At 44.2% G+C, this 24,590-nt stretch overlaps 1 protein-coding gene and 1 long non-coding RNA gene across 4 annotated transcripts in view; one reads left to right on the top strand and one right to left on the bottom strand.

Moving 5' to 3' along the window:
* The window catches only part of TMEM266 (transmembrane protein 266), a 144,979-nt gene that overhangs the window by 74,475 nt on the left and 45,914 nt on the right, over window positions 1-24,590 (bottom strand). The window contains exons 2-3 of one of the 3 annotated variants that reach the window (XM_047432151.1): window positions 21,306-21,516; window positions 18,381-18,471 (exon numbers count right to left, since the gene is read on the bottom strand). The exons of 1 other annotated variant lie outside the window; for it this stretch is intronic. The gene's annotated coding sequence lies outside the window, so the exon portion shown is untranslated. The remainder of the gene's footprint in view (window positions 1-18,380; window positions 18,472-21,305; window positions 21,517-24,590) is intronic. One more of the 3 variants, XM_017021915.2, reaches the window with a different exon arrangement.
* On the top strand, window positions 2,624-22,731 carry LOC124903531 (uncharacterized). The gene is made up of 3 exons (XR_007064723.1): window positions 2,624-2,679; window positions 21,300-21,426; window positions 22,097-22,731. It is a non-coding gene; the product is annotated as an uncharacterized LOC124903531 (long non-coding RNA).

The raw sequence follows: 24,590 nt of genomic DNA, 5'->3' as shown, positions 1-24,590 counted from the left end.
GGCTCACTGCAACCCCTACATCCCAGTTCAAGCAATTCTTTTGCCTCAGCCTCCCAAGTAGCTGGGATTACAGGCGTGTGCCGCCATGCCCAGCTAATTTTTTTTATATTATTAGTAGAGACGGGGTTTCACCATGTTGGCCAGGCTGGTCTTAAACTCCCAACCTCAAGTGAGCCAACCGCCTCGGCCTCCCAAAGTGCTGGAATTACAGGCATGAGACACTGCACCCGGCGGTTTTTTTTTTTTTTTTTTTTTTTTTTTTTTTTTTTTGACAGGGTCTCACTCTGTTGGCCAGACTGGAGTGCAGTGATACAACGGAAACTCACTACAGCCTTGAACTCCTGGGCTAAAAGTGATCCCCCCACCATCAGCCCCCAGAGTAGCTGAAAAGCACAAGCCACCACACCCGGCTACCTTTTGTATTTTTTGTAGAGAGGAGGTCTCAGTATGTTGCCCAGGCTGGTCTCGAACTCCTAGGCTCAAGCAATCTTCCCGCCTTGGCCTCCCAAAGTGTTAAAATCACGGGAGTGAGCCACCATGCCTGGCCAGGATTTTCTTTATATCATTAAATATCCAGGCATTGTTTACATTTCCCCCATTTGTCCTGTATATATTTTTTTAAGGTTTGTTGAATCAGGAGCCAAAGAGGCCACACATTATGATTAATATGACTCTTAGGTCTCATTAAATCTACAGGTTTCCCCTTCCTCTACCTCATTTTTCACCTTGCAATTAATTGGAAAAACTGAGTCATTTGTCTGACAAAGTTTCCCACAGTCTGGATTATGGTGATTATATTTCCTTAGCAGTTTTTTTTGTTTTGTTTTTTGTTTATTTATTTGTTTTGAGATGGAGTTTCACTCTTGTTGCCCAGGCTGGAGTGCAATGGTGTGATTCTTGGCTCACTGCAACCTCCACCTCCCGGGTTCAAGTTATTCTCCTGCCTCAGCCTCCTGAGTAGCTGGGATTACAGGCATGTACCACCACGCCCGGCTAATTTTGTATTTTTAGTAGAGATGGGGCTTCTCCATGTTGGCCAGGCTAGTCTCGAACCCCCTAACTCAGGTGATCCGCCTGCCTCAGCCTCCCAAAGTGCTGGGATTACAGGTGTGAGCCAATGCACCTGGCCTCCTTAGCAGTTTTCTAACATGTTTCTCTGTCCCCTATGTTTCCTATACATTTTAATTAGTTTATAGATTTTAATCAGATTCAGGTTCAATTTTTTTGCAAGATTTCATAGGTGGTGCCATAACTTCAGTAGGAGACACATATTGTCTTCTTGTCCCTCTTTTTATTATACTAACAGCCATTGATAATTGCTTCCTATATCAATTAATTCATTAAGGTTTGCAAAAATGGTGATATTTTAATTTTGTTGTCCCTTTTTCATTGGTCAGCTTCTATTCAGACTTTCCCTCCTCAGTTAATGGATTAGCCTAAGGTATGGTTTATATAAGCAAAGAAGGAAAATGCTTAACTTTCGCCCCTTTATTTGTTTTCAAAATAATGAATTAGCATCTTGGTATCTTCCAAAATGATCAGTGAGGTGCTTATGGTTGTTTAAGCAGCTCCAGGGATTCATTCATTCACTCAGCATGGGTTGAGCGGAGGAGCAGATTCCCTGAAAAAGTGGCAGCAGTTTCCTGGAAAGGAGATATGGGAGAGGGGAAGAAACGACTGGCCTCTCTGGTACAAGGGCAAAGATGAGGGAGGAAAAGATGGTAAAATCATATTTAGATGGACAATAAGCAGGTGGCTTCAGCTGGAGGTTTTAATCCTTAACAAGCAGCACATTTTAGAAGGCAAAATTCCCTATGACGATGGGAATGCTGAGCCTGTTTGTTATTTAAAAATAATATTTCCCAAACAAAATAACCCTCAAAACACAAGCCTAGCACGAAGCAGGCATAGTCTAGCACTCTAAAAATGAACATCCGAAGTGCCAACCTGCTATTCCATAAACCTGGTAAAAGTGGAAGATAAAACCTGTTTTGGATTTACTGGGTGGGTGGGAAGGCTGCTTTTAAGACTTTAGTCAAATTCCAGTCTCTTCCACTTGTTGGTCATGAGTCTATGTATTTACCCATATATGTGTTCCAGCGAGATCTGCCAAGTTCAACCTTCCTAAGCTAATATCCTTGGAATTTTAGGGCTGAAAAAGGCTGCTAAGATCAAGTAGTCAGTCCCCTAAAAAAAGGCAGAATTCAACTCACCTGTCCCCAGAGGACCCCAGGTCTGTTCATCACCTCTTACTTGAGTGACAGCCCCATGGCACACATGACCTGCTTTCATACCCATTTCAGCGTTTCCCATGCCTGGTTTTACTCTGAATCACCTGGGGATCTTTGGGGAAACAGAAACTCATAGGTGCACTGCAGAAATGCTAAATCAGAACTCTGCAGGTGAAGTTTGAGAAGCTCTTTAAGTTTCCCAGGTGTTTCTGACATGCAGCCATTCCACTTGACCCTCTGTATCAGTGGTTCTCAAACGTTCTCATGTACCAGAATAATCACCTAAAGGGCTTATTAAAACCCAGCTTGCTGGCTCCGCCCATGAAATTTCTAATTTAGTATGTCTGGAGTGTTCGAAAATGTACATTTCTAACAAATTCCCAGAGGATACTGATCTGCTGACCCACCGACCACACTCTGATCTACTGAATCAGAAAGTTTGCTCAAGGTAAAGTAGTTATTTTTATCCCTATTTTGCAAATGAAGTTAAATGGTTGCAAAGCTACTGTGTTGGAATTAGCAGAAGCTATGCTGACCAAGCTGAAGAACCAGAGATAGGGTGTATCAGTTAGAAATACTTTTGTTTGCAAACAACAGTATACCTAGCAGTGACTTAGGCAATGAAGACTTCAGGCCAGGTGTGGTGGATCATGCCTGTTATCCCAGCACTTTGGGAGGCTGAGGTGGGTGGATCACTTGATATCAGGAGTAAGAGGCCAGCTTGGCCAACATGGCAAACCTCATCTCTACTAAAAATACAAAAATTAGCTGGGTGTGGTGGCTTGCACCTATAGTCTCAGCTGCTCTGGAGGTTCAAGTGGGAGAATTGCTTGAGACCGGGAGTTTGAGGCTGCAGTGAGCTATGATTGAGCCACTGCACTCCAGCCTGGGCAACAGACCAAGGCACTGTCTTAAATTAAAAAAAAAAAAAAAAGGACTAGAGGTAGATGATTCCAGAACTGGAGAAGTGGCACCCAAGCTCTTTTTTCCCCCGCATAGCTGAGGTATGACTGACAAATAAAATTGTATATATTTGAGACATAAACTGTAATGTTTTGATATATGTATACATTGTGAAATGATTACCACAATCAAGGTAATTAACATACCGATCACATCATATAATTACCTTTTTTGTTTGGTAGTAATGAGAATACTGGAGATTTCCTCTCAGCAAATTTAAGCATACAATATGTTGTTATTGACCATTATTAGTCACTATGGTGGTTATTATTAACCATTATTAGTCACAGACCTAATATATTAGGTCTCCAGCATGTATTCATTTTATAACTGAAGATTTATACCCTTTGACCAATATCTCCTCTTCTCCCTCACCACCTGCCCCCCGCAACCCCTGGTAACTATCATTCTACTCTCTTGTTACTATGAGTTCAACTTTTCTTTTAAAAAAAAGATTCTACATATAGGCTGGGCACAGTGGCTCACGCCTGTAATCCCAGCACTTTGGGAGGCCCAGGCAGGTGGACTACCTGAGGTCAGGAGGTCGAGACCAGCCTGGCCAACATGGTGAAACCCCATCTCTACTAAAAATACAAAAATTAGCCGGGCATGGTGGGCGCCTGTAATCCCAGCTACTCAGGAGGCTGAGGCAGGAGAATTGCTTGAACTCGGGAGGCGGAGGATGCAGTGAGCCGAGATCATGCCACTGCACTCCAGCCTGGGCGACAGAGTGAGACTCCGTCTAAAAAAAAAAAAAAAATTCTAACTATAAGTGAGATCGTGCAGTATTTGTCTTTCTGTGACTGGCTTAGCATAATATTCTCAAGGTACATCCATCTTGTTGCAAGTGGCAATATTATTGAGCTCTTTTTAAAGGCTGAATAATATTCCACTATATATATATATATATATATATATATGTCTGTGGGTGTGTGTGTGTGTGTACACACACATATTTGTCTATTGATGGACACTTAGGTTGCTTCCAAATCTTGGACATTGTGAATAGTGCTGCAATAAATGTAAGAGTGCAGATATCTCTTCAAGATAGTGATTTCCTTTCCTTTGAAAGGAAAGGAAATCCCACTCAGCAGTGGGATTGCTGGATCATACGGTAGTTCTATTTTGAGTTTTTTGAGGAGCATCCATACTGTTTTCCATACTGGCTGTACCAATTTACATTCCTACCACAATACACAAGGTTCTCTGTTTTCCACATCTTTGCCAACACTTGTTATCTTTTGACTTTTGACTTTTTTATAATAGTCATCCTAAAAGGTGTGAGGTGATATCTCACTGTGGTTTGGATTTGCATTCCCCTGATGATTGGTGATGTTAAGCACCTTTTCATAAACCTGTTGGCCATTCGTGTGTCTCCTTTGGAGAAATGTTTATTCAGGACCTTTGCCATCCCCATCCCCCCCACTGCCTTTTTTTTTTTTTTTTTTACATGGAGTCTCATTCTGTCACCCAGGTTGGAGTGCAGTGGTGCCATCTCAGCTCACTGCAGCCTCTGCCTCCCGGGTTCCAGCAATTCTCCTGCCTCAGCCTCCCGGGTAGCTGGGATTACAGGCATGTGCCACCAGGCCTGGCTAATTTTTGTATTTTTAGTAGAGATGGGGTTTCGCCATGTTGGCCAGGCTCGTCTTGAACTCCTGACCTCAGGTGATCTGCCCACCTGGGCCTCCCAAAGTGCTGGGATTACAGGCGTGAGCCACCATGCCCAGCCCCATTTTTTTTTAACAGGGCTATTGAGTTGTATAGGTTCCTTATATATTATATATTGAGTTATATGGGTTCCTTATATATTATATATTGAGTTGTATGGGTTCCTTATATATTATATATTGAGTTGTATGGGTTTCTTATATATATTGGATTTTAACTCCTTATCTGATAACTGCTTATCAGATATATTGCTAAAACATACTTCCTCCCATTCAGTAGGTTGCCTTTTCATTTTGTTGTTTCCTTTGATGTGCAGAAACTTTTTTATTTGACGTCATTCCTGCTTGTTTATTTTTGCTTTTGTTGCCTGAGGTTTTGCCTCCAAAATATCAATGCCAAGACCAATGTCAAGCAGCTTTCACCATATGTTTTCCTCTAGGGTTTTGATTTTTATGTATGGTGCAAGATAAGCGTTCAGATTACTTTTTTAATGTAAATATCCAGTTTTCCCAGTTTTTCTATTGAAGAGACTATCCTTTTCCCATTGTGTATTTTTGGCACTTTTGTCCAATTAGTTGACCATAAAGGCATGGGTTTATTTCTGGGCTCTTTGTTCTGTTCCATTGGTCAGCCTGTTTTTATGCCAGGACCATGTGGTTTTGATTACAATAGCTTTGTAATATAGCTTAAATCAGAAAGTGTGCTGCCTCTGGCTTTTTTTCTTCTTGCTCAAAGTTGCTTTAGCTATCTGGGGTCTTTTGTGGTTCCATACAAATTTTAGGAATTTTTTTTTTTCTGTGAAAAGTGCCATTGGAATTTTTGTTTGTTTAGAGAGAGTCTCACTCCATCATCAAGGCTGGAGTACAGCAGCACAATCATAGCTCACTGTAGCCTGAAACACGTGGGCTCAAGTCATCCTTCTACCTCAGCCTTCAGAGTAGCTGGGACAACAGGCACGCACTATTATGCTTGGATAATTTTGAATTTTTTTTAGAGTTGGGGGTCTTGCTATGTTGCCTAGGCTGGTCTGGAACCCCTGGGCTCAAGCAATTCTCCTGCCTAAGACTCCCAAATAGCCTGGATTACAGGTTCAAGACACTGCACCCAACTCACTATTGGAATTTTGATAGGAATTGTATTGAACCTATAGATTGCTTTGGGCAGTATGGACATTTCAATAATATGAATTATTCCAATCTATGAACATAGGATATCGTTCTACTTATTTGTGCATTCTACAATTTCTTTCAACAATGTTTTCTAGTTTTCAGTGTACAGAGAACCCAAGCTCTTCTCATCCTTCCATGCCCCTGTCTTGTGTGTGATAGATTCCTTATGCTTGTTTCCCTGTGGTTGCAGAATGGCTGCTACAGCTCCAGCTTGCACATCCTCACACCGACTCCCAAACGAGAAGAAAGAATCAAAGGCTTTCTCTTTACAAGGCTTTGATCTTTTATTCAGGAGGCATCTTTCTAAGCTCTCCAGACAACATTTCCTGATGTCTCCCTGGGCAGAGCTAGGACAGGGCTGCAAAGGAGCCTGGGCCAATAGGCAGCTGGCCAAGGGAGTTAGGGGTGCTATGTGAACCTAGTCCAGTCAAGATTCATCCCTTGGGACCGGACACGGTGGCTCACGCCTGTAATCCCACCACTTTGGGAGGCTGAGGTGGGCAGATCACCTGAGGTTAGGAGTTTGAGACCAGCCTGGCCGACATGGCGAAACCCCGTCTCTACTAAAAATACAAAAATTAGTCAGGCATGGTGGCACACACCTGTAATCCCAGCTACTCAGGAGGCTGAGACAGGAGACTCACTTGAAACCAGGAGGTGGAGGTTGCAGTGGCAGTGAGCCAAGATCACGCCACTGCACTCCAGCCTGGGCGACAGAGCAAGACTCCATCTCAAAAAAAAAAAGATTCATCCCTTGGGGATAGGCATATTGTTTCCATAAACATAATCTCGGTTGTCTTAGCAAGGAAGAAGCAGGGAGGGACTATGGCATAGGTAACTAATTGTATGCTAGACCAGGTTTGGACACTTCTGATGTGGTTCTGAGGCTCAGCTGAGATAAGCTTTCTGGGTCCCTAAACAAGACTGGCCAAATGTTGGTGAGTGGCTGGCAGCATGTGCTCTCACAAAACCTTGGGGTTCTTTTACGTGGAGATAGCATTGCATGCATGTGAGGTTCAGTTCTAACATCATAAAGCCTGCTTTAGAATCTGCTCCTAGGGGGAAGCCACTGAGCTCTGGCATGTTTCATGGACATCATGTTCCACACCCTCAGGAGGAGAAGGTTGTATTTCTTGTGCTTGATGAGAAAGGTTTCTGTACAACAGATGCTGGTCCTCCTTGTTGTTACCTTGACCCCCTAATATTTTACTCCATTAACAAGGAGCTAAAATGAAGAAAATCAATCACACACCTGAGCATTCTCCCACTCCAATCTCCAGTCTATTGCAAAATTATTAGCTGCAAATCTGCTAAATGAATGGGCAGAGAGCCCACAGTGGCTTTCATCTCTAGGTGAGCCAAGGTCTCTTGTGGACCCCTTTAACTTTCTATTGTTTGCTCTTTTTCACTTACTTAGTGATGTAGTCTGTCAATTACTACTGGTCTCATGCAGCATGGGAAACACAAAATAAGGTTACACAAAATCAAACCATCCATCATTACTCAGTTACTCTTTTCAGAAAGCCAAAAGGACAATTATCGTAATTCTTCCCTTCCCCTCAATATCTTTTTTCCACTTTAGAGCTTCCCTAACAAACACTTCTGTAAGTGACCCCACTGAGACAAAGGATCCACTTGCTCCTCGCCCCTAGCTGGCCTAGGCTGAAAATAATACCACCCAGCAAGCAATCCTCAGCCCCAGCCTGATGTCATTTTCCCTCCAGAATTCTGCAGAGTTTCTGGAGAACTAAAATATCTATGATTTTGAGAACCACCAACAATGAGCTAGGGCTGCAGCGGCTGTCCCAGTATCTCTAACCCTCCTTCAATCAAGCAAATCTTAAGTATAAATGCCACCTTTCAAACACTTTGCAAATTTCCAAATTAATCTTTTGCTTTACATGCTATTAACTAAAATATGTTAGGAACCCGGATATAATTAACTTTGCCAGTGAATACTACATGGCACCAGGCAAGTAACTATTCTTTGGTAAATGGAGGGAAAAAGTCCTCTTTCTTCAATACTTTTCATACTACATATGGTAAGATTGTAAAAAAAAGATCCCATTTTTTACCTGCATTGTATCAATGCCCTGTTTGTCATGTAATTTTTCATTACCCTTTTACCTGGTGGTTGGCCTTGGCCATTTGGTTGACCAAGCAAATCCACTTGCTTTGTCCAAATAGATGGTAAGCAAACATGAAAGCTCTCACATGATTGGGCCTGCCCTCTCTTGCACCTTTCCCATCATCATGACAGCATACTCAGGCTGGCCTGCTAGAGGATGGTCATTGCCCCAGTCACCTCAACTAAGGCCAGCCAACAGCTGCCCTCCAGGCATGTGTGAGAGAGGCTAAGCCAAGACCAAAAGAGCCACCCAGCTGTGCCTAGCCTAAATCACTGACCCACAGACTCATGATCTAAATAAAGGGCTTTTTGGTTTGTTTCTCAATTCATTCTTCAGTCACTTATTAGCATCTTCTATGTTCCAGGAACTATACTAAACATTGAGGTTATCAAGATAAATGAGACATGATCACAGCACTCAAAAACTCATGGGGTAGTAGTAGAGACAGATGCATAGATAGACATTTACATCAAAGAAGTGAGAATAGTGAAAGACTATCAAGGAGTGTTTTGTGAGCTGTAAACTTCTGTAACTAATGATTAACTAATGATTCCTCACGCTGGCAGGCACAATCTCCTTCCTTGCTTCAGCCACCTGTTAAAGGTTTGTTTTGGCCGGGTGTGGTGGCTCATGCCTGTAATCCCAGCACTTTGGGAGGCCGAGGCAGGCGGATCACTTAAGGTCAGGAGTTTGAGACCAGCCTGACCAACATGGTGAAACCCCACCTCTACTAAAAATACAAAAATTATCTGGGCATGGTGGTGAGTGCCTGTAGTCCCAGCTACTCAGGAGGCTGAGGCAGGAGAATCACTTGAACCTGGGAGGCAGAGGTTGCAGTGAGCTGATATCGTACCACTGCACTCCAGCCTGGGTGACAGAGTGAGACTCCATCTCAAAGAAATAAAAAAAAAAGAACACCAAGAAAGGCTTGTTTTGTTAAGCCCACCAAGTTTTTAGGGTGGTTTGTTGTATGAGATTATTGTGGCAATAGAGCACTGATACATTATAGACAATTGTCCACTGCAACACATAAAATAATACATTTTACATCACATATATTGGTATATATATCTTTGTATTATATATAAATACATAAAAGTTAAACCTCTCTGCAGCTTCCACCTTAATCTTTCAACTTCCCTGCTCCATCCTCTCTTGAGGTCCCTATGTCAATACCCAGGCATAGAAATCCTTGCTCAGAATTAAGCAAGCATATACTCTTATTTATAGGCTGATATTTGTGGGTTTGTGTTGAACAAAATAAAATCAACCCTGCAATTTGCTTTTATCACTCAGCAGTATATATGGACATCCCTTCCAGTTAGTGAAGATTTATATATTTTCTAATTTCCTTTTTCAGATATATACACACATGCATATATACAGCTTTATATAAATTGATTATCATGAAATTCATGTTTTAGTGGAGTCTGTTTTTCTATTTTTCCTGCTTCCCCCACATTACCTGCCTCATGTTGTACTCCCTTAATATACATATGCATGCAAAAACACATACCAATGTTAATCTGTGTGTATCTTTCCTTATCTTTTTTTTTTTTTTTTTTTTTTTGAGACAGTCTTGCTCTGTAACCCAGGCTGGAGTGCAGCGGCATGATCTTGGCTCACTGCAGCCTTCGCCTCTCAGGTTCAAGCAATTCTCCTGCCTCAGCCTCCTGAGTAGCTGGGACCACAGGGGCATGCTACCACGCCCAGATAATTTTTGTATTTTTAGTAGAGATGGGGTTTCGCCATGTTGCCCAGGCTGGTCTCTAACTCCTGACCTCAAGTGATCCACCTGTCTCGGCCTCCTATAGTGCTGGGATTATGGGCGTGAGCCACCGCACCCGGCCTATCTTTCCTTACTTTTCTTTGTGCTTATATAATTATGTATAAAAATAGTTCATTATATATTTTAATACATATTATTCACACTTATCTGCTTTTTGCTTTTTCCATTTGACAATATCTTGTAGAAATCCCCCTCCCCCAAGTCAGGTAGTAAAACTCTAATTCATTCTTTTATTAGTGGCTGTATAATATATTCCATGGTGCGAATGATCCATAATTTAGTTAAAAATTGCCCCATTGATACGGTTTCTTTTTAGATTTTTTTTTTTGGCCACCGTGAAAAGTGCTATTAGAAACATTCTTGTACACATTTCATTATATACTGGTATTTTCATTTGCATGGAATAGATTCCCAGTAGTGACATTACTGGGCTAAAGAGAATGTATTTTAAATTTTAATAGTTAAAATGAAATTGCTTTGTAAAGGGCTTTAACAATTCACACTTCACAGCAAAGTAGGAAAGCTCCCTTTTGAGGGGAGAATCTTAATCACAAGCTCTGAAGGGTGGCTGTGGACTATTTAAGTTCAAATACTTGCTTAATTATACCCTCTTCCCCACAGAGCACTGTAGTAAAAATCTGAAAAATGGAGGACAATGGCAAAAGCAAAAATAGTAACAGATATCCTTACACAAAAGAAAATATGTAGCCAGTTTGGGAACTATCCCCATCACAATATTTCTTTTTCTTCTTTTTTTAATTAATTTTTTTTTTGAGACCAAGTCTTGCTGTATTGCCCAGGCTGGAGTGCTGTGGCACGATCTCGGCTCACTGAAGCCTCCACCTCCTGGGTTCAAGTAATTCTCCTGCCTCAGCCTCCTGAGTAGTTGGGACTACAGGGGCTCTCCACCATACCTGGCTAATTTTTGTATTTTTAGTAGAGATGGGGCTTTACCATGTTGGCCAGGCTGGTCTCCAATTCCTGATCTCAAGTGATCCGCCCACCTCAGCCTCCTAAAGTGCTGGGATGACAGGCCTGAGCCACCGCGCCCGGCTCCCGTCACAATATTTCTATGAATTGTTTCAGCAACAGCTAGTCCCCCTGAGACCCTATTTTCTTTTCTTTTCTTTTTTTTTTTTTTTTTTTTTGCCATAAACCCTAACCCCCTAAACGAAACCAATAGCATAACCTTGAGATTAAACCTTGGGTTTCCTTGTGTGTCCTTCCCCTCCCAACACTCCAGGACTTACAAGCTGGCAAGTAGAGTGGGTACAAATATGGCAGGCTTAAATCTGATAGCGTTCCTGACCAAGTAGATAAAAATCATTAGCAAAGGAGAAGAATTTTAGGAAGAGTCATTCGCTTTTAATTACTGGTATATCAATATATAGGCTAGTGCCCCACATAGTACTAGAAACTCTGGGAAGATGGCACCAGGATTTCCTGGATTTGCCCCTCTGGTGTAGTGCTTTCCTGTCCTCATTCCCAGGGAAGTCAGTCTCCCCTCACAGATCACAGGTCTGTGCATGATGACGAGGGTTAAATTGTTGGCAGAGCTTCATTTGAATACCAGTGGCACAACGCCCCTTGGCACCAGGTAGGGCCTGCTTTAAGCTAGGAGTTGAGGAAGTGCCACTCACTAACTCCTCTCTCTGAAGAACCCATGTCTTCATGGAAGGCTCCCCACTCGGAGCTGTCCCCCTGCATGATGCTACTACGTGATGACACTCTACGTAAATCTCCTGGGATGCCGGAAGGATCTTCCTTTCTTCTAACCAACATCATTTCTTCCAAAAGGGTAGAAACTGGAGGGAAAGCAAACCAAGGTCTCTACATCACTGATGGCAATTTTATTGGTTAGGACTCCTTAGGTAATGGGCATTTACAGAGATCCTAGAAAGTGCAGAGCTCAGGGCTGGGCAGTAAGATGCAAAGCAGTATAAGGCAACCCTTGCCCTCAAGTTTCCTTCCTTTATTTTTTGAGACAGAGTCTCGCTCTGATGCCCAGGCTGGAGTGCAGTGGTGCAATCTCAGCTCACTGCAATCTCTGCCTCCCAGGTTCAAGTGATTCTTCTGCCTTAGCCTCCCGAGTTGCTGGGACTACAGGTGCCCACCAGGCCCAGCTAATTTTTGTGTTTTTAGTAGAGACGGGGTTTTACCATGTTGGACAGGCTGGTCTCAAACTCCTGACTGCAAGTGATCCACCTGCCTCGGCTTCCCAAAGTGCTGGGATTCCAGGCATGAGCCACCACACCCGGCCTCAAGTTTTCAATCTCATTAGAATGGAGGGCCCAAGGCAGTATGATGTAAATAATGACTGAAGATGATATGTGCTGAAGGCCAGCTGAGTGGCTCAGTGAAGATGGGACAAGATTAAGCCAGGAGGAGGTCAGTGTGGGCCGCAAAATCAAAAAGGCTGTGGATCTTCCCAGGGGTGCAGTAACCTGGCCTTACTTTGAAGCATGTATCTGGTCAGTGGCAAGGGTCATAAAAGAGCATTAGCTTTCTGGCCTTGAGGCCAATGGTATCTGCCAGTGGCTCCAGCTGCAGCAGGCCTGAGAACCACCTGGAGAGCATGTTTAAAATGCAGATTCCTGGGCCATCCTAGAGATTCTGAGCAAGGAGATCAGGAACCTGTGTTTCCACCTGAGAATCACTGGCCTAAGTAAGTGTCCCACCTGAAATCACCTCTACTTTCATGTCCCTCCTTCAAGGACCACAATCAAGTTCTCTTTAATTTTACAAACACCTCCAGGCATCAGTTCGTTCCAGTCTCCTCTCCTTCTGCTGACCCTCCTGTGGACCCACTGCCATTCCCAGCTTGTCTCCTCTCACAAAATCCTTCTCCACCTCCAGAAGTGCCTAGCCCTGAGTCTATTCCTAGAGCTTCAGTGGTCCTTTCTTATCTCCCTTCAATTCAAAACAAACGGCAGATATATTCTCATCACGGCTTGCGTTCAGGGTCAGGAAACATAATAAAACCACTCTAAGACCCAAACTGATCCAAACACCGGCTTGGTCTCTCTTAATAAGCAACCCAGGCTACGTGGGAGGTGGGTGTGGAGATGGTCCCAGACTGGGCAGCTGTAAAACTGGGCCAGTCTCTTAGTCGGAGCCCAGTTTTGCCACGTGTAAATAAAGACAAAATGACTGACCACCTCAGGCACTGCCGTAGTGTTTCATTTGATGCTGGTATACATGGTGGTACGGCACGTGATGACCTTGTCTCTGAGAAGCCATCAGTATAAGGTAAAAAGTCGATTTAATAACAGCTTGTCAATGAAAAAAAAAATGTACACACTGTCAAATTTATGCATCAAGTGTAAGACCCTGATGGATTCGGCTGGGTGTACTGGCTCACACCTGTAATCCCAGCACTTTGGGAGGCCGAGGCAGGCAGATCATCTGAGGTTGGGAGTTTGAGACCAGCCTGACCAACATGAAGAAATGCTGTCTCTGCTAAAAATACAAAATTAGCCCGGCGTGGTGGCACATGCCTGTAATCCCAGCTATTCAGGAGGCTGAGGCAGGAGAATCGCTGGAACCCGGGAGGTGGAGGTTGCAGTGAGCCGAGATCATGCCACTGCACTCCAGCCTGGGCAACAAGAGCGAAACTCCGTCTCAAAAAAAAAAAAAAAAAAAAGAAGATATGCTTTACTGTTTGTAAATTATACTTCAAACAAAATGGCTGATTTTTAAAAATAGATGAGGATGTGCTATTTTCATTAACGTGAAAAGTTGTCTGTAACATAATAGGAAATAAGCAGGTTACAGGATGACATATGTTTGACAATCCCTATGTACAGAAAATATATGTGAGACAGGATCTGGAATGAGACTTTTCCTGTTGTCCTAGAGTTTTGCAGATGCCCTAAAGATAAGGACAAAGGTGGTAAGAGCTCACACTTGCTAAAGAGAGATGCCAGACCATCTCTATTTGGAACACACTCATGATGGTCAAGGTGGTCCGCAACCCCCACTCCGGATGGGTGCAGGAGAGAACGCTAGAGATTCATTAGTGAGGAGAGGGAGGGGAGTGAAGAGGAGGAGAGGGGGAGGGACAGGACGGTGTCTCTGAAGGGGATTCCTAGGAGTAAAGAATGTGAGCATTTCCCTTCCCTGAGGATGAGGGAGGGGTGCATACCTTTTCCCTTAAGCTAGGTGAGAACCAAGAAAGCCACTGCGAGGCTGCGTGCAGTATGGGAGTCTGGCATCTGCCTCTGGGTAAGCTACGGAGCCTTATCGGCCCAGCAAACTACAAAGACTGCGGAGGAACAGGGAGCAGGATCTTAGACAAGCTTCGTGTGTGTCTCCCGGAGCTTGGAGACGTGCATAAGTAGAGGAACCCATGCCAGGCTCCCAGGCTGGCTGGCACAGTGGGCGATGGCAGGGCGAGGAGAGAGGGCCACAGTGGGTGCAGGCTGCCTGTAACCGTGAGGCTAAGCAAGGACGTGGTGCTAGTTCTTAGTGAAAACTCAACTCGTTAATTTAAACAGAGTATAAGTTTTTAAAGAACACTGAATGTGGGGGGCGGGGCAGGGGAGCGAGAAAGCCAGGCCTAGAAAGTCAGCAACACCGAGCATCTGCTGAGCACTGCTCCAGTAAAAACATCACTGTTGTCACTGCCTCACACCAACATCTCCCTCCACAGCTGAGGGCACACAGCTTCATCTGGTTGGCAGAGGTCACATAGCTGCATCCTGGCTGCACATGGGTAGATGGACTAAATGTGGGAATTTCCCCAAATATAGAAGGGATACATATTGAATGATGCAGGATGGCCACAAATACGAAAAGCGCCCTGTCTAGTTAAGGACTTCCTACAGGCCAAGTGAATAACTGGGCATATTGACAGGCCCCCACCCAAGAAGGTGGCCTCCCGGGGCCAGGGGAATCCCGGGGACACAGTGCCAAAAGTGAGAACTGAAGGCAGCCCCAAGAAGTTAGGCAGAATGTTCAGTGGAATGGGGCATGCGACCCCCTCCCCAGGGGCATTGGGAGTGGCCAGGACGCAGGTGGTGGGTTTCTAGGGAACTTAAAAAAGCACATTTCAGGAGCCAGAGAGCAGAGAGCGTAGGGCCAGAGCAGAAGAGCTGGTCTGCCAGTGGGATGAGAGACCAAGGTTTTGATTTAGGTGGGATGTTTTAACATCTGAAAATGAACCTAAGTCCTGAAAATGACTAGAAAAGCTAAGACATCTTCCCACGTTCACATCAGGTGATGGGAAAGTGAAGGAAACAATACGTTGGAAGAAAGCAGCAACTTGACGGTTCCCTATGAATTCCCAATCGTCTGAAAGGTCTGGATGGCTAGATCCTAGGCAATTAGCAGCAGTTAAAATTAGGGAGGTGGCGTTCTTGAGGGGAGCTGTCAGTAGTTTTTATGAGCATGCTTTATTTTAAAAAGACAAGGGATATTTCTTTTTTAAAAAAATAGAGGTGGGGTCTCACTATGTTGCCCAGGCTGGTCTCAAACTCCTGGGCTCAAGCAATCTTCCTGCCTTGGTTTCCCAAAGTGCTGGGATTATGGGTGTGAGCCACTGTGCCTGGCCAACAAGGGATATTTCTATTAACAAATCTAGACATGATGAACCTTGAACACATTATGGCAAGTGAAAGCCAGACACAAAAGGCCACATATTGTGTGATTCCATTTATAAGAAATAGAATGGATAAAAAAGCAGATTAGTGGTTGACAGGGACTGGTGGGAGAGAGTGACTTTAATGGGGTTTCCTTGTGGGGTGATGAAAATGTTTCGGAACTAAATAGTAGTAATGATTGCACAACACTGTGGATGCGCTAAATGTCATAACAGTAAATTTCATGTACGTTTTACCACAATTTAAAAAAACAGAAGACAAAAAACTATAAAAAATCTAGATATATTGGCAAGGAAAGATGTCCACTATACAGTAATTTGAAAAAGTAGTTTCTAAAAGTATGTTACCTTTTATAAAAGCAAAACAAAACAATATAGTGTGATGTATATAGAAAGATATCTGAGTTTTTTGTTTTTGTTTTTGAGACAGGGTCTCACTCTATCACCCAGGCTGAAGTGCAGTGTGCAATCTTGGCTCACTGCAGCCTCCACCTCCCAGCTCAAGTGATCCTCCTGCCTCAGCCTCCCGAGTAGGTAGAACCTCAGGCGTGTACCACAACACCCAGCTAATTTTTGTACTTTTTGTAGAGATGGGGTTTTGCCATGTTTCCCAGGCTGGTCTTGAACTCCTGAGCTCAGGCCATCCACCTGCCTTGGCCTCCCAAAGTGCTGGGATTATAAGCATGAGCCACTGTGCCTGGCCTATAGAAAGATATCTGAAAGGACAGACACACCCTGAGTGTCAACAGTAGTTATTTAATGGATGGTGGGATTACAATTTATATTTTTCTATACTGTCTAATTTTCCTTTATAATGAACCACAACTATTTTTAATTAAAAATGTAGATAAGGTAAAAATTGGTAAGTACCTAAGAGAAGTACTGATAAAGGGCCGTGGGAGTGCAGACGCAGAAGAGACAGCTTCCAACTGTCTGGGTCCTTGTAACTGCCCTGAAGTAGCCTCCTGATGGGTGTTCTTACCGCTGGGCATCTTGCTTCAGGCACATCCTTTTCTTTTTCTTTTTTTTTTTGAGTCGGAGTCTCGCTCTGTCACCCAGGCTGGAGTGCAGTGGCACGATCTCAGCTCACTGCACGTTCCGCCTCCCAGGTTCACGCCATTCTCCTGCCTCAGCCTCCCGAGTAGCTGGGACTACAGGCAGCCGCCACCGCGCCCGGCTCATTTTTTGTATTTTTAGTGGAGATGGGGCTTCATCGTGTTAGCTAGGATGGTTTCGATCTCCTGACCTTGTGATCTGCTCACCTCAGCCTCCCAAAGTGCTGGGATTACAGGCGTGAGCCACCGTGCCCGGTGCTTCAGGCACATCCTATACGCTGCCACCTGGTGACTCTTCTGAAGCGCAGTGTGATCTGCTTATTCCCTGACTCAAACCTGCAGAGGTGCCTACTGCTTACTGAACATGCTCTCAATTCCTTGGCCAGGAATTCAGAGCCTTCCACCATCTGGCCCCAGCCTTTTAAGCCATTCCTTATCCTTCTCTACACTGTGCTCCAGCCACCTATCTGTTCCTAGTGCATGTGCACACACAATTATTCACCTCTCTGCCTCTGCTTATGGAATTCTCTCTGCTTGGAACATCTTTCTTTCTTTCTTTTATTTTTTATTTTTGAGACGGAGTCTCGCTCTGTCACCAGGCTGGAGTGCAGTGGTGTGATCTCGGCTCACTGCAATCTCCGCCTCCCAGGTTCAAGCGATTCTCCTGCCCTAGCCTCCCAAGTAGCTGGGACTACAGGCGCCTGCTACCACACCCGGCTAATTTTTGTATCTTTAGTAGAGACGGGGTGTCACCATGTTGGCTAGGATGGTCTTGATCTCTTGACCTCGTGATCCGCCTGCCTCGGGCTCCCAAAGTGCTGGGATTACAGGCGTGAGCCACCGCGCCTGGCCCAGAACATATTTCATAGGAGTGGGTAGGAGTCTCACTCCTACCTGGCCCTCCAATCCAAACTTTCAGAACTGGTGTCACTGCTTCCACTTGAGGCCAGTGGGGAGGGGCTGGATTTCCTCTCTCTCTTGCCCACTTCAACGGTACCTCTCCCAGACTATGAATCATAGTTTACCTTGTGTTATAGTGGTTTATGCTCACATACCATCTACTCTAGACCGTAAGCTCCTTACGGTCAGGGCTCATAATCAGCAAATTAAGAAAGAAATCTCTCAGGCATATTTTTATCTGCCAAATTTAGTTCAGTGGCTTTTCAAAGGCAGAAAAATAATGCAAGGCCCTTGGATGGCCCCATGAGTGTGCTTCCTGCATTCAAAAAGTCTCAATAATCCATCAGACTCAAAGGACAGCTCTCGACAAGTCAATGCTGTGCTGGGGACAGCTGGGTGGAGGTGCCATCTGCAGCAGATGTGCAAGGTCATCTTTGTGCCTAAGGAGAAACGTGGCTGAGCAATCGTCCAGCAACTGATCTTCTCTTGGAATAATTTGGTAGCACATTACAAAAATTAATAGACTTTATTTTTTATGGAAACTTTAGGTTCATAGAAAAACTGAGCAGAAAGTACAAAGCATTACCATAGATACCCTTCCCCAGACTCTACAGTTTCCCCTATTTTTAACATGTTGCATTTGTTTGTTAAAACTGATGAACCAATATTGATACATTGTTATTAATTAAAGTCCATAGTTTATATTAGGGGTCACTCTTTGTGTTGTTTACTTTTATGGGTTTTGACAGATCCATAATGTCACATGTTCACCATTAAGAGTATCATACAGAACAGTAGAGCTATAGTCCTAAATAGCCCCTGTGCTCCACCTATTCATTCCTCCCTCCCTCCTCCTGAATACCTGGCAATCACTGACCTTTTTTTCTGTCTCTGTAGCTTTGCCTTTTTCAGAAGGTCAAATAGGTGGAATCATACAGTATGCAGCCTTCTAAGATTGGCTTCTTTCACTTAAAATGAAAAAGAGGCATTTAAGGTTTCTCTATATCACTTCATGGCTTGATGGCTCATGTCTTTTTATTCCTGATAAATATTGCATTATATGGATGTATTACAGTTTGTTTACCCATTCATCTATGGAAGAACATGTTGGTTACTTCCAGTGTTTGGCAATTATGAATAAAGCTGCTGACGTTTACGTCAGGTGCAGGATTTTGTACAGTCATCAATTTCAACTCATTTGGGTAAATACCAAGGAGTGTAATTACTAGCTCATATGGTAAGAGTATGTTCAGATTTGTAAGAAACTGCCAAAGTGTTGGCCGGGCATGGTGGCGCATGCCTGTAATCCCAGCACTTTGGGAGGCTGAGGCGGGTGGATCACCTGAGGTCAGGAGTTAGAGACCAGCCTGCCCAACATGGGGAAACCCCATCTCTATTAAAAATACAAAAATCAGCTGGGCATGGTGGCGGGCGCCTGTAATCCCAGCTACTTGGGAGGCTGAGGCTGAGGCAGGAGAATCGCTTTATTGTGCAAGAACATTTAAGATCTATTGGCTTAGAATAGTGTTTACTAGAGGCAAGCAAAGATAAGCGGGAGAGGGTAGCCAAAGGTTGGCTAACAGGTTAACAGACACAAGAGTATATGGCTGGGCCGGGTACAGTGGCTCATGCCTGTAATCCCAGCACTTTGGAAGGCCAAGGCGGATCACTGAGGTCAGGAGTTCAAGACCAGCCTGACCAACATGGTGAAATCCTGTCTCTGCTAAAAATACAAAAATTAGCTGGGCATTGTGGCGCACACCTGTAATCCCAGCTACTCAGGAGGCTGAGACAGGAGAATCGCTTGAACCCAGGAGGCAAAGGTTGCAGTGAGCCGAGACCGTGCCATTGCACTCCAGCCTGGGCAACAAAAGCGAAACTCCATCTCAAAAAAAAAAAAAAGAAACTGCGAAAGTGTGTCTTCCAAAGTGGCTGTTCCATTTTGCATTCCCATCAGCAGTGAATGAGAGTTCCTGTTGCTCCACATCCTCACCAGCATCTGGTGTTGTCGGTGCTCTGGATTTTAACCATTCTAACAAGGGTGTAATAGTATCCCGTTGTTGTTTTAATTTGCATTTCCTTGTTGATACAATGCTGAAGATCTTTTCATATGCTTATTTGACATCTGTATATTTTCCTTGGTGAAGTGTCTATTCAGATTTTTTGCTCACTTTTTGATTGGACTATTGGTTTTATTGTTGAGTTTTAGGAATTCCTTATATATTTTGGACATAATTCCTTTATCAGAAGTGTGTTTTGCAAATATTTTCTCCCAGACTGTGGCTTGTCGTTTCATCATATTCTTTTTCTACCTTTGGGAAAATAAGCACCACAGCAGACAGATACACCTGGGTGATCTTTGACCTCCAGCACCTACTGGGCAACCCTGTTTGGCAGTCCATGTCTATGGGCTTGACTTGGCTTTGTGTCTGCTCTGAACAGAACCCAACTTACTAACATCTAAAGCAGGGGTGTCCAATCTTTTGGCTTCCCTAGGCCACACATAAAATACACTAACGTTAAAGGTAGCCGATGAGCTTAAGAAAAAAATCACAAAAAAGTCTCATAATGTTTTAAGAAAGTTTATGAATTTGTGTTGTGCCGCATTCAAAGCTGTCCTGGGCTGCATGTGGCCCATGGGCCATGGGTTGGACAAGCTTGATCTAAAGAAAAACTGACTTTTGGCATGGTGCGGTGGCTTATGCCTGTAATCCCAGCACTTTGGGAGGCTGAGGCAGGTGGATCACAAAGTCAGGAGTTCGAGACCAGCCTGGCCAACATGGTGAAACCCCATCTCTACTAAAGATACAAAAAAAAAATTAGCCAGGTGTGGTGGCGTGCACCTGTAATCCCAGCTTCTCGGGAGGCTGAGGCAGGAGAATCGCTTGAACCCAGGAGACAGAGATTGCAGTGAGCTGAGATCGCGCCATTGCACTCCAGCCTGGGCGACAGGGTGAGACTCTGTCTCAAAAAAAAAGAAAAGAAAAGAAAAGAAAAATTGACTTTTAACTCAAACAGAAAAACCTGGCCAGGCATGGCGGCTCTCACCTATAATCCCAGCACTTTAGGAGGGCAAGGCAGGAAGATCGCTTGAGGCCAAGAGTTCAAGACCAGCCTGGGTAAAACAGTGAAACCTTGTCTCCACAAAAAATTTAAAAAATTAGCCAGCCTCCTGCTTCAGCCCAGCAGTTGAGGCTGCAGTGAGTCATGATCACACCACTGTACTCCAGCCTGGGCAACAGAGCAAGATCCTGTCTCAAAAAAAAAAAAAAAAGAAAAGAAAGAAAAAAGAAAAGCCTGTCATTGCCACTTTTATAATTTATTGGAGTCAAGGTCTCATTCTGTCACCCAGGCTGGAGTGCAGAGGCAGGATCATGGCTCATGGAGCCTCACACTCCTGGGCTCAAGCGATCCTCCTGCCTCAGCCTCCCATGTTGTCGGGACCCCAGGCATGAGCCACTGCACCTGGCTATTGCCACTTTTGAAGTGTGCCAGAAAGTGTGTAATCATTGCCAAGCATGCGGAGTCTTTAAAAATGTTTAATTATCACTGCTGTGTTTTTTTTGGCCTTTCTTTATGCATTTATTCAATAAATCCTACAGCCTTGGGAGGAACCTGGTGTTGGGCCTGGCTTCTTGCTTGAAAAATGGCCCCACTGCCTCTTTCTCATGCCCTGGGCACCACATAATGAGGTGAGCCAGCAGCCTTCCCTCTCAATCCATGGACTGAGTTCAGAACAACTCCACCTGACCCTTTGGACAGCTTGCCAACTCCTGCATTCTGTTTCCACTTCCAGCCTCACCTTGCACTTCAGGTCTGCTACCTGCTGAGGTCTTTCTGGTTCCAACTTGGGGCTCATTCCACTGTGCCTTTGATCCCAGGAACATCTGATACAAAGATCTTCTCAGGTGACCCGGTCCCAGGTAATGTGCTTTCCACAGCTCATGTGGCCTCTCGGGTGGGACCAAAGGGAGATACACAGGAGAGTAAGATACAGCCTTGCTTCCAACAGTCTAGTTGGAAGGAGAGGATATTAAAGTAGTTTATGATGAGTGCCAAAAATTTCTACAGATAGTAAATACAGTTAGTACCATAGTTATTACTTAGGAGACTTGTACCCTGAATTTAATTAATCTCCCCCACACTTAAGTTTTCTCACCTCTAACAAAGGGGTGACAAGAATGTAACATTGTGTACAGGGAAGGTTTTCACATGGAAACATGAGCCTGGATACCCAGGAAAGATCAAAGATGGTCTCACCTTCTACTACATCAATGCTAAACTGCTACCCTGTCTAGCTACCTCTCTTCTCTTGGTTCCCAGGTGCACAGGCCCCCAGTTCAATGGACCAGGCTCTTCACAAAGAAGCCCTCTGTGTTTCTTGATTTCTTAGATCCTTGCTTTTCAAAGTGCGGTCCCGGGTCCAGCAGCAGCACTGGCATCACCTGGGAGCTCATTAGAAATGCAAATCCTCAGACCCCATCCCAGGCCCAGTGAATCAGGAATCTGTAGCTTAACAGGATCCCCAGGAGATTTATAAGACGTTACAGTTTGAAAAGCACTGGGATGAATGATCTTTAAATTCCCTTTCAGTTCTAAGCTTCTACAATCTATGACATTTCTTGTGACCCTGTCTGGAGGAGACTGCTGGGAGTTCCCTGGAAGGCTGCTGACTGGCTGGGCACTGAGCAAACCCGAGGGTGCCTCAGCAACCAGGCTCCAATGCCAGGCATCCAGGCATGGCAGGCAGCCACTGGCTGCAGGTTAGTGTGACCCTCTCGGAGATTCGTGCTGCCCTCCTGCCAGGGAAATGGCTCAAGTTGTCACGACAGAGCATGACCCTGAGATAGAAGCTGGGGGTGGTGCCCCCGTGCAATGAGCTTTGCTTGTTTGTGCAGGCTTCCTTGGAGCCTCACGTAGCCAGGCTCAGCTGCTCTGCCACCCTTTAGGCTGCTGGGTAGCCAGAGTAAGGAGAAAGGAAGAGAATGAAAAAGGACGATGTATGGCAAGTTCTGAGGTTGTGGACAAAGGGAAGAGGGTGCCTGCTAAAATGTTCCCCCCAAAGCAAAGAAAGCTTCAGATGTTGAACTCCTATGGTTTCTTGGGATGACAGAAGGATATGGAATAAGAGTAGTGCAGTGGGAATCAGCAGTGTGGGTTCTAGAGTAGACTTCCTCCTTTTGAATGATCTAGACAAGTCTCTTTCCCTTTCTGGATCTCAGTTTCCACATCTGTAATGTGAGATCAGATTAATTCATTCAAATACTATATTTGAGCCCCTGGGACATGGCTGACACATGACTAGGTGCTGGGAACACAAGTGATATTTATGGAGCTACACGTTGAATAATTTTCTAAAGAATCTTCCAGGGCTTGAATATTCTATTTTAGGACAGGCTCTGGACTCAGAGTTGGGTTCAAATCTGAACTTTATAACTTACTTACTAGTTGGGTGCAAGAAAGCTCTTAACTCTCAGTTTGCTCATATGGAAAATGGGCATAACAGTTTCTTTCATAATGGTGCTATGAGGATTAGAATGTAAGTGTAAGGCACCTCCCAGGAAGTACTCAACGCAGTCACTTATTAGACATTTACCATGTGCCCTGTGTGAGCGACATACTCTGGTATGAGGGCAACGAGCCACGCCTGGCTGCTGAGCACTTGAAATGCAGCTAGCTCATCTGAAATGTGCCGTGCTTGTAAAATACACACTGGAAACTGAAAACCTCGTATGAATGAAAGAATGCAAAATATCTCATTGACAATATTTTCTATTGATTACATGTTGAAATAATAATACTCTGGACATATTGGTTAAATAAAAGATATTAAAATTATTTTTACCTGTTTCTTTTCACTTTTTAAAATGTGCTAACTAGAAAATTTTAAATGGCATACATGGTTTATGTTATATTTCCGTGGGACAGAGACAGTCTAGAAGAAACAAAAGCATACTCTACTGTCCTTGTGCTCTGTGAGTTTACGTGTGGTTGGGAAGATAACATCCACCATCAACTCATACCCAAGAGAGCCCACCAGAGAGCAGGACTTGGAAGAAGCAGGAAAGAACACAACATGGGGACTATGGTTAATAGCAATAGATAGTATACTTGAAAATTACTAGAGTTTAAGTGTTCTCAACACACACACACAAAATAAGTATGTGAGGTAAATGCATATGATAATTAGCTTGATCTAGCATTCCACAGTGTATACATGTTTCAAAGCATCATGTTGTAGGCTGGTCATGGTGGCTCACGCCTGTAATCCCAGCACTTTGGGAAGCCAAGGCAAGAGGATTGCTTGAGGCCGGGAGTTTGAGACCAGCCTGGGGAACATAGCAAGTCTCTATCTCTACAAAAATAAAAAATAAAATAATTAGCCAAGTGTGATGGCAAGCACCTGGAGTCCCAGCTACTTGGGAGGCTGAGGCAGGAGGATCGCTTGAGTTCAGGAGTTTGAGGCTGCAGTGAGCCGTGATTGCGCCACTGCACTCCAGCTCTGGGTGACAGAGCGAGACCGTGTCTCTAAAAAAACCAAAACCCCCAAAACCAAAAACACAAAACAAATTAAAAACACACATTATGTTGTATACTATAAATATATATAATTTTTATTTGTCAATTTAAAAAAAGTAGAAAGGATGGGGGAAATCAGATGGTTTGGGGGGCAGTTAAGGAAGTCAGTTGTGAATATGACACGGGTAGGGAGAGGGCATTCCCAGTGGGATGTACCAGACTGTGAGCTCCTTCAGTGCGGATCTTTGATTCTCCCACCATGCCGTGCACGTGGCAGGTACCTGATGAGTACTTATTCTTTGCAGGGGCTGGGGGATGGGAGGCAGAGGGGAACACAGAAACAGTGCAGAGGGAGGATGAACACAGAGGGCTTGTTTGTGAAAAGCCTGATCCCGCTAAACTGGGGGCCTGTGCATCTGGGAATCTGGAGGAGAGAGGTTGCTAGACAGGGTGGCAGTTTAGCATGAACACAGTAGAACGTGAGGCCACCTTTGATCTTTCCTGGGTATCCAGGCTCATGTTTCCATATGAAAACCTTCCCTGTACACAATGTTACTGTAATAAAACT

This window comes from Homo sapiens, chromosome 15 (genome assembly GCF_000001405.40).
Source record: "Homo sapiens chromosome 15, GRCh38.p14 Primary Assembly".
NCBI lineage: Eukaryota > Metazoa > Chordata > Mammalia > Primates > Hominidae > Homo > Homo sapiens.
This window is presented reverse-complemented; position numbering and strand designations above follow the sequence as displayed.